This window comes from Homo sapiens, chromosome 22, assembly GCF_000001405.40.
Source record: "Homo sapiens chromosome 22, GRCh38.p14 Primary Assembly".
In the NCBI taxonomy this organism is placed as follows: domain Eukaryota; kingdom Metazoa; phylum Chordata; class Mammalia; order Primates; family Hominidae; genus Homo; species Homo sapiens.
Genome location: NC_000022.11, coordinates 31494024 through 31510111, shown reverse-complemented (window position 1 = coordinate 31510111; position 16088 = coordinate 31494024). Strand labels below are relative to the sequence as shown.

The 16088-nt window shown below is 44.5% G+C and overlaps 1 protein-coding gene across 5 annotated transcripts in view, besides 4 other annotated features; it reads right to left on the bottom strand.

Moving 5' to 3' along the window:
* SFI1 (SFI1 centrin binding protein) overlaps nt 1-13973 on the bottom strand; it is a 122450-nt gene extending 108477 nt beyond the window's left edge. For 3 of the 5 annotated variants that reach the window (NM_001007467.3, NM_014775.4, NM_001258327.2), the window contains exons 1-2: nt 13475-13576; nt 1736-1857 (exon numbers count right to left, since the gene is read on the bottom strand). In NM_001007467.3, the coding sequence (NP_001007468.1) occupies nt 1736-1827 (92 nt within the window). In that variant the 5' untranslated portion in view covers nt 1828-1857; nt 13475-13576. Of the gene's footprint in view, nt 1-1735; nt 1858-13474 lie in introns of all 5 variants that reach the window. The other 2 variants (NM_001258325.1, NM_001258326.2) reach the window with 2 other exon arrangements.
* Nucleotides 12555-12614: a silencer, noted in NCBI's record as "silent region_13635". NCBI's record gives its function as "represses an Ori minimal core promoter by ATAC-STARR-seq in GM12878 lymphoblastoid cells {active_cell/tissue: GM12878}" and the evidence as "EXISTENCE:reporter gene assay evidence [ECO:0000049][PMID:35858748]".
* Nucleotides 13225-13494: an enhancer, noted in NCBI's record as "active region_18860". NCBI's record gives its function as "activates an Ori minimal core promoter by ATAC-STARR-seq in GM12878 lymphoblastoid cells {active_cell/tissue: GM12878}" and the evidence as "EXISTENCE:reporter gene assay evidence [ECO:0000049][PMID:35858748]".
* Nucleotides 13515-13734: a silencer, noted in NCBI's record as "silent region_13634". NCBI's record gives its function as "represses an Ori minimal core promoter by ATAC-STARR-seq in GM12878 lymphoblastoid cells {active_cell/tissue: GM12878}" and the evidence as "EXISTENCE:reporter gene assay evidence [ECO:0000049][PMID:35858748]".
* Nucleotides 15769-15818: an enhancer, noted in NCBI's record as "active region_18859". NCBI's record gives its function as "activates an Ori minimal core promoter by ATAC-STARR-seq in GM12878 lymphoblastoid cells {active_cell/tissue: GM12878}" and the evidence as "EXISTENCE:reporter gene assay evidence [ECO:0000049][PMID:35858748]".

Sequence of the window (16088 nt, the reverse complement as noted above, 5' to 3'; positions counted from 1 at the left end):
ACACCTGTAATCCCAGCACTTTGGCAGGCAGAGGTGGGCAGATCACCTCAGGAATTTGAGACCAGCCTGGCCAACATGATGGAGAATCGCTTGAACTGGGCAGGCAGAGATTGCAGTGAGCCGAGACTGTACCACTGCACTCCAGCCTGGGCAACAGAGCGAGACTCCATGTCAAAAATAAATAAATAAATAAATAAATATCAAAACAATGCTCCATAAACTCTTCCAGAAAATAGAGGAACACTTCCAAATTCATTGAGACCAGTATCGCCATCATAACAAAGACAAAGATATTACCAAAAAGAAAAATAAAAGACCAATAGACCTCGTGACTACAGACATAAAAATCCTCAAAAAATAGTAGCAAACCAAATCCAACAACGTATAAAAACCACTGTGATGGTTAATGTTAAGTGTCAACTTGATTGAATTGAAGGACGCAAAGTATTGTTTCTGGGTGTATCTGGGCGTTGCCAGAAGATATTAACATTTGAGTCAGTGGACTAGGAGAGGAAGACCCACCCACAATGTGGGTGGGCACCATCCAACGGCTGCCAGCACCACTAGGAAAAGCAGGCAGAAGGTAGGAGAAGCTGACTAGCTAAGTCTTCTAGCCTGCATCTTTCTCCCATGCTGGATGTTTCCTGCCCTCGAACATCAGACTCCAAGTTCTTTGGCTGTTGGATTCTTGGACTTACACCAATGGTTTACCAGGGGCTCACAAGCCTTTGGCCACAGATTGAAGGCTGCACTGTTGGCTTCCCTATTTTTGAGGTATTGGGACTTGGACTGAGCCACTGCTGGCTTCCTTGCTCCTCAACTTGCAGACTGCCTATCACGGGACTTCACCTTGTGATTGTGTGAGTCAATTCTCCTTAACAAACTCCCTTTCACATACACATATATCCTATTAGTTCTGTTCCTCTAGAGGACCCTGACTAACACAACTATATGCCATATAAACACCATGACTAAGTGGGATTTATCCCAGGAATGCAAGGCTGATTTAACATTCAAAAATCAATTTATGTAATACACCTATTAATAGAAAAAAGAGCAAAAACCACATGATTATCTCAATAAATGTACAAAAACCATGTGACAAAATCCATTAACATTCACGATAAAACCTATGAAAGGTCACAAGAAAATAGATGACATACTAAAAATAGGATAATTTGAAGATGGTATATTTACAAACTTGTGGGTATAGAGGAACTACAAGAAACAGTGCAGGAACCTGAAGCCAGTAGAAGCTAAGGTGGTACTACCTCTAGGCCCAAAGAGATGAGGGGAGGGAACAATTACCAAAACCCAGAAAGGGAGAGTTATACAGAGGCTGCCACGTTATAAGGTGCCGAGAGCTTCATTGGAGAGATACAGTCAACTGAAGGTAAAAGTCTGAAAGCAACCATGATCAAAAGTAGAAGACACGAGAGCCAGCCAACCTGGATGATATAACTTCAAAGCTCAGGAAAATAATACTCACTTCTGCTCAGAATCAAATTTTAATGATTGATATTTCCATGCACTACTCAGAATGTTTTTTGACTGTAACATAATGTACGAAATGTGTATTATCTTATAGATGAAAAATTTGAAATATCAATGACAAAAAAAACTTACCCACAGTTACTACCTCACTCATAATTTATAATTTTTTCATACACAAAATGTTTAGTTTTATATGAACCATCATTCCAGTTATATTTTTTTCTCAAGTCCCATCACTCACCTGGAATCAACCTTCTTCTCCATTCTCTGCTTAATCACTTTTTGATGGAAATTGTGGCTTGATATACACTTCTCAGTGAGCAGATTCTTCATGAATCAAAGTCTTTTATCTTCCCCTTCTAACTACAAGAAAAAGAGAATAAAAAAGAGAGAAAATGATTTGCAGCCTCTCAGGAGCCACATTTCTGAACTATATGCCAGCTCCTAGTCTCCTGCTCTCCTTAATTCAACACTAGATGAATGTGGGCTAGGTCTCTGACTTAAAATATTATATTTAAATTACTTTTTTTTTTAATTTTTTTGAGACGAAGTCTTGCTCTTTCACCCAGGCTGGAGTGCAGTGGCACGATCTCAGCTCACTGCAACCTCCACCTCCTGGGCTCAAGCGATTCTCCTGCCTCAACCTCTCAAGTAGCTGGGATTACAGGTACCTGCCACCACACCCAACTAATTTTTGTATTTTTCAGTAGAGACAAGATTCCACCATGTTGGCCAGGCTGGTCTCAAACTCCTGACCTCAAGTGATCTGCCCACCTTGGCCTCCCAAAGTGCTAAAATTACAGTGGTGAGCCACCACACCCAGCCTCATTGTGGCTTTGATTTGCATTTCTCTAATGATCAGTGATATTGAGCTTTTTTTCATGTTTGTTCACCATATATATGTCTTCTTTTGAAAAGTGTCTGTTCATGTTGTTTGCCCACTTCTTAATGGGGCTGTTTTTATCTCATAATGTTGTAAATGCTAGATGTTAGACCTCTGTCAGATGGACAGAGTGCAAAAATTTTCTCCCATTCTGTAGGTTGTCTGTTTACTCTGATGATAGTTTCTTTTGCTGTGCAGAAGTGCTTTAGTTTAATTAGAAATTAAACTAAATTTGTCAATTTGTGATTCTGTTGCAATTGCTTCTGGCATCTTCATCATGAAATCTTTGCCTGTGCCTATGTCTTGAATGGTATTGCCTAGATTTTCTTCCAGGGTTTTTATAGTTTTGGGTTTTAAATTTAAGTCTTTAACCCATCTTGAGTTAGTTTTTATATATGGTGTAAAGAAGGGGTCCAGCTTCAATATTTGAATATGGCTAGCCAGTTCTCCCAGCACCTGTTATTAAATAGGGACTCCTTTCCCCATTGCTGGTTTTGGTCACATTTGTCAAAGATCAGATGGTTGTAGGTGTGCAGTCTTATTTCTGGGTTCTCTATTCTGTTCCATTAGTCTATGTTTCTGTTTTTGTGCCAGTACCATTCTGTTTTTGTTACTGTAACCTCGCAGTATAGTTTGAAGTTGGGTAGCATGATGCCTGCAGCTTTGTTCTTTTTGCTTAGGATTGTCCTGGCTATTCATGCTTTTTTGTTCCATATGAATTTTAAAGTAGTTTTTTCTAATTCTGTGAAGAATGTCAATGGTAGTTAATGGTAACAGCATTGAATCTGTAAATTGCTTTGGGCAGTATGGCCATTTTCATGATATTGATTTTTCCTATACATGAGCATGGAATGTTTTTCCATTTGTTTGTGTCACCTCTGATTTCTTTGAGCAGTGGTTTGTAGCTCTACTTGAAGAGGTCTTTCACTTCCCTTGTTAGCTGTATTCCTAGGTATTTTATTATTTTTGTGGCAACTGTGAATAGGAATTCATTCATGATTTGGTTCTCTGCTTGCCTGTTGTTGGTGTACAGGAATGTCTGCAATTTTTGCACATTGATCTGTATCCTGAGGCTTTGCTGAGGTTGGTTATCAGCTTAAGAAGCTTTTGGGCTGAGACGATGGGGTTTTCTAGATACAGAATCATGTCATCTGCAAAATGTTATTTTCTAATGAAGGAAACTGAGAGGAGAGCGAGCCACACTCAGAAGTTGTGCCTGGTTCTTTCTTCATGTCTAGATGCTTCAGCACCTTCAACTTCCCTTCACAAAAACACCAGTAGAGGCCAAGATTTCTTATTTTTCCTCAGATTAATTTTTATGGTTATCAGTGTTACTGTGTGTAGTTTTCATTTTCTTTCTTTTCTTTTTTTTAAAGACAGAATTTCTGGCCAGGCACAGTGGCTCACGCCTGTAATCCCAGCCCTTTGGGAGGCTGAGTCGGGCAGATCACCTGAAGTCAGGAGTTCAAGACCAGCCTGCCCAACATGGGAAAACTCCATCTCTACTAAAAGTACAAAAATGAGCCAGGCATGGTGGTGGGCACCTGCAATCCCAGCTACTCAGGAGGCTGAGGCAGAAGAATCACTTGAACCCGTGAGGCAGGTTGCAGTGAACCGAGATCACACCACTGCACTGCAGCCTGGGCAACAGAGCAAGACTCTGTCTCAGAAAAAAAAAAAAAAAAGACAGGATTTCCCTCTGTCACCCAGGCTGGAATGCAGCAGTGCAATCGCAGCTCACTGCAGCCTCGACCTCCTCAGGCTCAGGTGATCCTCCCACCTCAGCCTCCCAAAGTGTTACGATTACAGGCATGAGCCACCATGCCTGGCCTTTTTTCTTTCTCACGCTGTCACCCAGGGTCTCATGTTATTATCCAGGCTGAAGTACTGCGGCACCATCACGGCTCACTGCAGCCTCAACCTCCCATGCTCAAGCAGTCCTCTCACCATAGCCTCCCAAGTAGCTGGGACCACAGGTATGTGCCACCATGCTCAGCTTATTTTTTATTATTTGTAGAGACAGGGTCTTGCTATATTGCTCAGGCTGGTCTCAAACTCCTGAGCTCAACTGATCTATCCACCTTAGCCTCCCAAAGTGCCTTTTTTTGTGTGTAGAGATAGGGTCTCACTCTGTCACTCAGGCTGGAGTGCAGTGGTGTTCTCATAGCTGACTGTAATCTCAAACTCCTGGCCTCAAGCAATTCTCCTGTCTCGGCCTCCCAAGTAGCTGGGACTACAGACAGGCACCACTGCACCTTGCCTAGTTTTCATTTTTTCTTTTTCTTTTTCTTTTTTTCCGAGACAGTCTCGCTCTGTTGCCCAGGCTGGAATGCAGTGGTGCAATCTAGGCTCACTGCAACCTCCACTTCCCGGGTTCAACCGATTCTCCTGCTTCAGCCTCCCATGTAGCTGGGATTACAGGAATGCACCACCACAACTGGCTACTTTTTGTATTTTTAGTAGAGATGGGGTTTCCCCATGTTGGCCAGGCTGGTCTTAAACTCCTGACCTTAAATGATCTGCCCACCTCGGCCTCCCAAAGTGCTGGGATTATAGGCGTGAGCCACTGTGCCTGAGCCCATTTTTCATTTTCAATTGGTGATAATTTGTATCAAAAATATTCATTAGGAACTGAATAAATTATGGCATAGTTTTTTAAATTATTATTATTATTACTATTTTTCTTTTAGTGCCAGGAATAGCAGTGTTGTGGGTTGAATTGTGTTCCCCAAAAAAGATTTGCTGAAATCCTCACCCCTGCTACCTGCGAATGTGACATTATCTGAAAACAGGGTCTTTGCAGAAGTAATTAAGATGTAAGTTAAGATGAGGTCACATGGGAGTAGGGTGGGCCCATAATCCAACACGATTTGTGTCTTTCTTAAAAGAGAAGAGATACAGGGACAGATACACATAAAGAGGAGAATGCAATGTGATGACAGAGGCAGAGACTAGAGTGATGTATCTACAAGAATTGCCAAAGATTGCTGGCAACATCAGAAGCTAAGAGAAAGGCATGGAACAGATTCTCCCCTGAGCCTTCAGGGAGAGGATGACACCTTGATTTCAGACTTCTAGCCTCTAAAACTGTGAAAGAATAAACTTCTATTAGTTTTAAGCCACCCGGTTTGTGGTACTTTGTTACAGCAGCCCTAGGAAACTAATACAAGTAGTAAGACAGAAGAGTAAGATTTAAGTAAATGGTGGAGGCAAGCTAACAGGGTGAACACATCCTGTGTTGAGTAACGGTGATGCATTTACAAGTTGTTTCATTCTAAAAGAATGAAGTCACCCTTATAATCAAGGTCACATATTTCAATGACAATCAGACAAGGAATTAGCCAGTTTATCCATACAAAACGAATAATCCTTACTTACATCAAACCGATGTCCTAGTTTTTCTGATACTACACTCCAAGTAACAGAGGTCATCATAAGTGATTATTTCTATAAATAAATCAAATGGAGTATTCAAATAGTGATTTTTCGTGAAATACTGCTATAATCAATGTGTCACCGCCTTGGGTTTCTGTCATAATGATCCTGTGGAATGTCCTTCATGGTCAAGGACTCCCTTCTGTTATATACTCTATACCAGCATTCTACCTATTTGTACATGTCTGCCTTCCCCACTAAAATATAAATTCCATGGAAACAGGAATCACATCTGATCTTCTCTCCATTCTATCTCCAGCCTCTAAAACAACGTCTGTAACCTCACAGATAAAATACACATATACTGGAAAAACTAGGACACAGGTTTGCTTTCAATAAGGACATGTATGAATATAAACTTGCTTATAAGTTGGAATATAATGAATATAATGATAATCAAATACAAAACATGGCCGAGGACAGTGGCGCATGCCTGTAATCCTAGAACTTTGGGAGGCCGAAGCAGGTGGATCACCTGAGGTCAGGAGGTCGCCACCAGCCTGACTAACGTGGTGAAACCCTGTCTCTACTTAAAAAAAAAAAAAAAAAATTGGCATGGTGGCGAATGCCTGTAATCCGAGCTACTTGGGAGGCTGAAACAAGAGAATCACTTGTACCTAGGAGGCGGAGGTTGCAGTGAGCCAAGATCGCACCACTGTACTCCAGCCTGGGCAACAAGAGCGAAACTCCATCTCAAAAAAAAAAAAAAAAAAAACAGTCCAAGAAAAACAAAAATTATTAGGTGTTGACTCCCAGTTAAACATGTAGATTGACCTTCTAAGGTGGCAGCAAAGAATACAAAGGAACGAACCATAAGGTTAAAGAGATGACAGAAGCGATTATAGGACATGAGGGATTTCCACAGGTTTTACAAGAAAGGAAAATGAAGTGGCCTAACAGGTTTGAGGAAATGAAAAACTTCAGAGTGGATACCAAAGGAAAGTGGACCACACAGAATTCCAACCCTGTCAGACAGGGTATTCACGCCACTTCTGCTGTCCCGCTTCCAAAATTCTGGTAGCTAGATGGTACCTCTCAGGCAGGAGACTGGAAAAGTCTTCTCAGAAAACAATAAAAACTAACACATCTCCAGATTCTGAGACCTGTGCCTTACTCTCCATCAATGAAAAAGCAGACTTGTCCCTAGATTACCCTAAAGTGAAGCCCCTGAACTCACAAGTCCTGCTCAGACACAAGGAGCTTCCAACTAATTTCTCAGTTACACCTTTTTTTTTTTTTTTTTTTGAGACAGAGTCTCGCTTTGTTGCCCAGGCTGCAGTGCAGTGGCTCAATCTCGGCTCACTGCAAACTCTGCCTCCTGGGTTCAAGCGATTCTTCTGTCTCAGCCTCCTGAGTACCATCACACCTGGCTAAGCTAGACTGGTCTTGAATTCCTGACCTCAAGTGATCTGCCCGCCTCAGCCTCCCAAAGTGCTGGGATTACAGGTGGGACCCACCACGCTCGGCCATAATCTCTCAGTTACACTTAAGTATAAACAGACAATTGAGAATCATAAAACATTTAGAAAAGACCTCCAACAAATAAAAAAGAGACCAAAATAAACCCAACAAAGCACTGATGAAGTGCTACCACCCATGATGAAATCTTGCTAAAAAATTGAACCTGGCCGGGCGCAGTGGCTCACGCCTGTAATCCCACGACTTCAGGAGGCCGAGGCAGGTGGATCACCTAAGGTCAGGAGTTCAAGACCAGCCTGGACAACATGGTGAAACCCCGTCTCTAATAAAAATACAAAAATTAGCCGGGCATGGTGGCAGGTGCCTGTAATCCCAGCTACTTGGGAGGCTGAGGCAGGAGAATCGCTTGAACCCAGGAGGTGGAGGCTGCAGGAGCCGAGATCACGCCATTACACTCCAGCCTGGGTGACAAGCGTGAAACTCCATCTCAAAAAAAAAAAAAAATTGAACCTGAATATCATCCAGCCTCATCTAGAACTAAGTACAGTAAGTCCTCACTTAATGTCATTGATAGGTTCTTGGAAACGGCAACTTTAAGCAAAATGATGTATAAGGAGACCAATTTTACCATAAAAGGTAGTTGATACAAACAAGATTTAAGTTCCTGTAACATATTTCTGGTCAGAAAACATCACCAAACTTCTAAATAAAGATCCAAACCCTTTTAATATTAAACACTGAAATAAATGTGAGCTATACATATATGTACAGAAGATTCATAAGAACAAGTAAGATAATTATTTACCCACTTATTCCAGTTCAGGGTCAAGGTTGGCTAGAGTGTATCCTGGCAGCTCAGGGCACAAGGGGGGATGCCACCCTGGACAGGAAGCCATTCATGGCATTGCACACTCACACACACACTCACTGACACTAGGATCATTTAGACATGTCAATGAAGCTAATGTGCTTATCGTGGGGACATGGGAGGAAATCAGAGCATCCGGCAAAAACCCACATAGGCATGAGGAATGTGCCAACTACAGACAGACAGTGGACCCATCCAGAATCAATTTTTTCTTATCAATGTTATGTTTTAACAAAATGTTGAGAGTACCACACAATCAAAAATGTATAGACTATAATCAAAATAACATCTATAGATAAGGTACTCTGCTACGCATTAGTGCTAAGCACTTTTCATGAACTACCTACTTTAATATAACTACCTCAGCAAGTGGTTATCAACTTCATTTTACAGCTGGAGGGCTCAAGGTTCCCAGCTAACAAGTGGCGGAACTGGGACTAGTACAGGCAGACCTCAGAGATACTGAGAGTTCAGCTGCAGACCACATAAATAAAGCCAGTCACATGAATTTTTTGATTTCCCAGTTCATATAAAAGTTATGTCAGCTGGGCACGGTGACTCACGCCTGTAATCCCAGCACTTTGGGAGGCCGAGATGGGCGGTCATGAGGTCAGGAGATCGAGACCATCCTGGCTAGCACAGTGAAACCCCGTCTCTACTAAAAATACAAAAAATTAGCCGGGCGTGGTGGCGGGCGCCTGTAGTCCCAGCTACTCGGGAGGCTGAGGGAGGAGAATGGCGTGAACCCAGGAGGCAGAACTTGCAGTGAGCCAAGATCACGCCACTGCACTCCAGCCTGGGCAACAGAGCTACACTCCGTCTCAAAAAAAAAAAAAAGTTATGTCTACACTTGTAGTTAAGTGTGCAATAGCATTGTCTAAAAAACTAATGTACATACCTTAATTTAAAAATATTTGGCCGGGCACAGTGGCTCACACCTGTAATCTCAGCACTTTGGGAGGCCAAGGTGGGTGGGTCACGGGGTCAGGAGTTCGAGACCAGCCTGGCCAATATGGTGAAACCCCGTTCTACTAAAAATACAAAAATTAGCTGGTGGTGGTGGTGGGCACCTGTAATCCCAGCTACTCAGGAGGCTGAGGCAGGAGAATTGCTTGAACCTGGGAGACGGAGGTTGTAGCAAGCCGAGATCACGCCATTGCATTCCAGCCTGGGTGACAGAGCAACACTCAGACTCAAAAAAAAAAACAAAAAACAAAAACAAAACAAACACACACACACAAAAACACCACTTTATTGGGCAGGCACAATGGCTCACGCCTGTAATCCCAGCACTTTGGGAGGCCCAGGCGGGAGAATCACCTGAGATCAGGAATTTGAGACCAGCCTGGCCAACATGGCAAAACCCTGTCTCTACTAAAAACACAAAATTAGCTGGGTGTAGTGGCAGGTGCCTGTAATTCCAGCTACTCAGGAGGCTGAGGCAGGAGAATCGCTTGAACCCAGGAGGCAGAGGTTGCAGTGAGCCAAGATCATGCCAATGCATTCCACCGTGGGTGATGAGATGAAACTGTCTCAAAAATAAAAATAAAAATAAATAAAAACACCTTATTGCTAAAAAATGCTAACAATTATCTGATTCTTCAGTGAGTTGTAATATTTTTGCCAGTAGAGGGTCTTGCCTCCATGTTAATAGCTGCTGACTGATCAGGGTAGTGATTGCTGAAGGTTGGAATGGCTATGGCAATTTATTTTTTCTTTTTTTTTTTTTTTTTTTGAGACAGAGTCTCACTCTGTGGTGCGATCTCAGCTCCCGGGTTCAAGCGATTCTCCTGCCTCAGCCTCCCAAATAGTGGGGATTACAGGTGCCCGCCACCACAACTGGCTTTTATATTCTTAGTAGAGTCAGGGTTTCACCATGTTGGCCAGGCTGGTCTTGAACTACTGACCTCAAGTGATCGCCCACCTCAGCCACCCAAAGTGCTAGGATTACAGGCATGAGCCTGTAATGCAGGATTATACTGCATCCGGCAACTGTGGCATTTTCAATGTTTTTTTTTTTTTTTTTTTAAGATGGAGTCTCACTCTGTCGCCCAGGCTGGAGCACAGTGGTTGCAATGCTCACTGCAACCTCCGCCTCCTGGGTTCAAGCGATTCTCCTGCCTCAGCCTCTGGAGTAGCTGGGACTACAGGCGCATACCACCGTGCCTGGTAATATTTGTATTTTTAGTAGAGACGGGGTTTCACCATGTTGGCCAGACTGGTCTCGAACTCCTGACCTCAGGTAATCCGCCCGCCTCAGCCTCCCAAAGTGCTATGACAATTTCTTAAAATAAGACAATAGTGATGTGTGTCACATCGATGGACTCTCTTCCTTTCATCAAAGATTTCTCTATAGCATGTAATGCTATTTAATAGCATTTTACCCACAGTAGAACATCTTTCAAATTGAAGTCAATCCTCTTAAATCCTACCACTGCTTTGTCAACTAAGTTTATGTAATACTCTAAATCCTTTGCTGTCATTTCAACAATGTTCACAGCATCTTCACCAGGTGTAGATTTCAACTCAAGAAACCACTTTCACCAGGCACGGTGATTCACACCTGTAATCCCAGCACTTTGGGAGGCTGAGAGATGGAGACCATCCTGGCTAACACAGTGAAACCCTGTCTCTACTAAAAATACAAAAAATTAGCCAGGCGTGGTGACACATGCCTGTAATCCCAGCTACTCGGGAGGCTGAGGCAGAAGAATCACTTGAACCCGGGAGGCGGAGGTTGTGGTGAGCACTTTGGGAGGCCAAGGCAGGAGGACTGCTTGAGACCAGGAGTTCAAGACCAGCCTGCTCAACTAACAAGACCCTCATCTCAAAAAAAAAATTAGCGAGGCATGGTATTACACACCCAGGTACTGAGGAGGCAGGAGGCTAAGGCAGGAGGATCACTTTCGCCTAGAAGTTCAAGTCTGCAATGAGCCATGATCACCACTGCACTCCAGCCTGGACAACAGAACAAGACCCTGTCTGAAAACAAAAGTAAAAACAAAGCCGGGCATGTAGTGGCTCAGGTCTGTAATCCCAGCACTTTGGGAGGCCGAAGCAGGTGGATCACATGAGGTCAGGAGGTCAAGAGTGTGCCATGCACTCCAGCCTGGGCAATAAGAGTGAAACTCCATCTCAAAAAAAAAAAAAAAGAAAAAAAGAAGCCACTCCTCATCCATCCAAGTTTTATCATGAGGTTGCAGCAATTGGTCACATTTTTAGGCTCCCCTTCTAATTCCAGTTTGCTTGATTTTTCTATCATATCTGCAGTTACTTCCTCCACTCGGGTCTTGAGTCTCTCAGTTATCCATGGCGGCCTGACTCAACTTTTTCAAACTCCTTTTAATGATTTTTTTTTTTTTTAGACGGAGTCTTGCTCTGTCGCCCAGGCTGGAGTGCAGTGGTGCAGTCTTGGCTCACTGCAACCTCTGCCTCCTGGGTTCAAGCAATTCTCATGCCTCAGCCTCCTGAGTAACTGGGATTACAGGCGCCCACCACCACACCCAGCTAATTTTTGTATTTTTAGTAGACACAGGGTTTCTTCAAGTTGGCCAGGCTGGAATTGATATTTTAACCCCTTCCCACAAATCATGAATGTTCTTAATGGCACCTAGAAATCCTTTCCAGAACATTTTCAATTTACTTTGCCCAGATCCATCAGAGGAATCACTACCTATGGCAGCTATGGGGTCACAAAATATATATATATTTTTTTGATATGGAGTCTCATCACTCTGTCGCCCAGGCTGGAGTGCAATGGCGCAATCTTGGCTCACTGCAAGCTCCGCCTCCCGGGTTCAAGTGATTCTCCTGCCTCAGCCTCCCCAGTAGCTGGGATTATGGGTGCCCGCCACCACATCCGGCTAATATTTTGTATTTTTTAGTTGAGACGGGGTTTCACTATGTTGGCCAGGCTGGTCTCAAACTCCTGACCTCGTGATCCACCCGCCTCGGCCTCCCAAAGTGCTGGGATTACAGGCATGAGCCACCATGCCCAGCCCACAAAATGTATTTCTTAAATAATGACTTGAAAGTCAAAATTACTCCTTGAACCATGGGCTATAGAATGCATACTGTGTTAGCAGACATGTAAAGTAACATTAATCTCTTTGTACATCTTCATCAGAGTTCCTTGGTGACCAGGTGCCTTGTTAATGACCAGTAATATCTTGAAAGGAATCCTTTTTTCTGAACAGTAGGTCTCGATAGTAGGCTTAAAATATTCAGTAAACCACACTGTAAATATGATGTAAAGACATTCAGTAAAGAGATGTGTGGTCATCCTGGGTTTGTTGTTGCATTTACAGAGCATAGGCATTTCTAGCTTCGTCATTTCTAGCTTCGTCATTTCTAGCTTTTGATATAAAGTGAGAGACATGGAACTCTTCCTTTCACTGAACACTTAGGGGCCACTGTGGGGCTATTAATTGGCCTAATTTCAATATTGTTGCCTCTCAGGCTACAAGGAGGACCGAGAGGGAGGAGAGAAACAGGGAACTGGCAGGTAGTGGAGCAGTCAGACACAACACTTAAGTTTGCTGTCTTATACCAGTGAGGTTCGTGGCCACCTAAAACAATTGCAATAACAACATCAAAGATCACTGATCACAGATCACTGTAACGGTGCACCTGAAATAAAAAGTTTGAAATATAGCGATAGTTACCAAAGTGTAAGTGACAGGAAGTGGGCACATGCTGTTGAAAAAATAGTTGCTCGGTGCAGGGCTGCTTGCTACAAACTTTCAATTTGTAAAAAACACGGTATCTGTGAAGTGCAATAAAGCGAGGTATGGCTGTACTCAAGTCCCTCACATCATTCATTCAACAAATATTTACAACACATCTACACAGCAGTTAAGAAACCTGAACAGCCTCCCATAAAAACAGGTACCCACCTCCCACGCGGGGAAGGCTTCCAGGTTTGTTTACTGCGTTACTCCCTGCGGGCTCAGTGGGAGTAAGGTCGCCCATATACCAGCCCTTCCGCTCCTGGGCCACGGAGCCGGGAGGAGGAAACCCCTGATTTGGATCCGCGCACGCTAAGGGGCATTGCGTGGACTCGAGCACCGGCCAGGAGCGCACTAGACGCCTGGGAGGATGCGGTGCCCCCAGGGCGGAAGACAAGAAGCCGAGAAGACGCGGCGGGAGAGGATGGCAGGCTCCGGGCCCCGTCCTGCGCCCTCTTGTCGCACTTCCTCCATTCCCGCACCACAGACCCGCAGGTAGACAACATCACCTGCACTTTCAGGGGAGGAAGCGGAGGCTCGGACAGATTTCACCGGGCTCGGAGGAACCCGACTGAGGTCCTTGCCGGGCTCACTGCCGGAAAGGCCGAGCCCAGAAGAGGGTGGGGACGTTAGGGCCGGGCCTCGTACCTGGGGAAGCCGAGCCATCGGGCCTGACGTTGGGAGAAAACCCGGCGGTATACGGCGATCCGGGACCTGCTTCTTAACTCCCGCGCGGTCCACGCCCGCCTCAGCGCTTCGCGCGCCTCTAGACGCCAGTCTCGCGCGGGCCCGCCCTCGTCTCCACGGCGACGCGGCGCGCACGAGGACCACCCCGCCCAGACCCCGGGGCTTGCGCAGCCTCAGTCGGGTAGGTGGCGCACTTCGGGTTGCTTTGCAGCAGCAGCAATGAGAATCGGTTTCGAGGGGCGTGGAGCATGCACCCTCTGGGCATCCCCACCGAGGGTTCTTTATCTCCTTGGCTCGCCAGCTTCGCTCTGAGCTCAGCTTGCTACTGCTCCTCTTAGACAAGAGAAGTGGGAGGTATTCCGAGGCGGAACCCCGAGTTACGCCGCCCGCGGCCGAGCACTAAAGATGAGGTTCCAGCTGGGAGGCGGCTGCGTACGAAAGTCCTCCCTCCCTCACTTCCGGACTCGTGCGTGGGCCTCTCTGGCTTTTGGTTCACAGGGAGTGGAAACCGGAACCCGTGGAGTATGACCCGCCCATGCGTGGACCCGGCAGGTTGCTACAACTTGCACTTGGAGGGGAGAGGTCCCAAGGCCCCCGAATTAGAAATGCCAGGCTCATCTCTTTTTGTAACCCTTCATTTTAAAATGTAATTAATAAGCACTCTTTTTGTTAAATTTTTAAATTTGGGCCGATCCTAATAATCTTAAAAATAGGAGTGGGAGGGGTAAGTGGGACTTTTCAAATACTTTTTTACGTGCTTTGTAAAACATTTGAAAGCACGTGAGATTCCTGGTGCAGAGACTAAAAGCAGTAGTTATTTATTTGAAAGATTTTACGCTAAAAACAGGAAAATTAACTTGTTGGGTGTCTCGGGCTTAGCATCACAGACAATTTGTATTTTTGCCCTATTTTCTACATGCTAATTTTTGCAATTAAAACATTTATTATTTATTTTTTGAGAAGGAGTCTCCCTCTGTAGCCCAGGCTGCAGTGCAGTGGCGTGATCTGGGCTCACTTCCACCTCCACCTCCCGGGTTCAAGTGTTTCTCCTGCCTCAGCCTCCCAGGCGCACGCCACCACGCCCGGCTAATTTTTTTTTGTTTTTTTGATAGAGACGGTTTTTACCATGTTGGCCAGGTGTGTCTCGAACTCCTGACCTCAGATGATCCGCCCGCCTCGGCCTCCCAAAGTGCTGTGATTACAGGCATGAGCCACCGCGCCTGGCCCTAAATTATGTTTTATATGGTGAAACCTCGTCTCTACTAAAAATAAAATTTAAAAAATTAGCCGGGGGTGGTAGTGGGCACCTGTAATCCCAGCTACTGGGGAGGCTGAGGCAGGAGAATCGCTTGAACCCAGGAGGCAAATGTTGCAGTGGGCCGAGATCGTGTATTTGCATTTGCCTGGGCAACAAGAGCAAAACTGTCTCAATAATAATAATAATAATAATTTAAAGGGAGTTCTACTTTAGCGGACATCAATGCTAATGTTTTAGGGACAACTTTTATCTGAACTTAATGTGGCCAAGTAGTTTTAAAATAATTTAGTAAGCTTCAAGGTTGTAATTAACAGTATAACAAAAATATATTTACTGTAATTTAGCCTAAGTACTTTTATGTAATTATGTAAATTTATATAAATTATATATTTAGGATAAGTCAATAAGCACTTCTTTCTAGATGATTTGAGCTAATTTCCTAATGCTTTCTTCCTGTTATGTGCATTTACCATCCTCAGCTTTGACAAATTTAGGAGGGATGAAAGGCATTTCCATTTGAGTTACAATGAAAATAGTCCTGTTGGGAAAGATTAGAAGATAATAGTACATAATAATAGCTAGGACAAGGACATCTTAGAGGCTGGGCACGGTGGCTCACACCTGTAATCTGAGCATTTTGGAAGGCTGAGCCAGGAGAATTGCCTGAGCCCAGTAGTTCAAGAACAGCCTGGGCAACATAGTGCCCATCTCTACAAAATATAAAAAATTTGACCAGGCGCGGTGGCTCACGCCTATAATCCCAGCACTTTGAGAGGCCAAGGTGGGTGATCACTTGAGGTCAGGAGTTTGAGACCAGCCTGGCCAACACGGTGAAACCCCATCTCTACTACTAAAAATAGAAAAATTAGCCAGGCGTGGAGTCACGAGCCTGTAATCCCGGCTACTCGGGGGGTTGGGGCAGGAGAATCGCTTGAACCTGGTGGGGGCGGTTGCAGTAAGCCAAGATCCTGCCACTGCACTCCAGCCTGGGTGACAGAGCGAGACTCTGTCTCGAAAAAAAAAAAAATCTAAGGGTTACTCTTGGAGCAAGAAAAACTGAGTAGGAAAAAGCCCATTTAGAGAGGTGCAATCCAGCCTTCTGTGATGAGGCTGCTGAAAGGTCATGGCCTGGCATTAAACTCTCTCACAGGTGCTCTCATAATTTCTGGGTTTCTAGTATTTTCTTTTTTCTTTTTTTTTTTTTTTTGAGACAGTTTCACTTTTGTCACCCAGGCTGGAGTGCAGTGGCGCGATCTCGGCTCACTGCAACCTCCGCCTCTCAGGTTCAAGCAATTTTCCTAGCTCAGCCACCCAAGT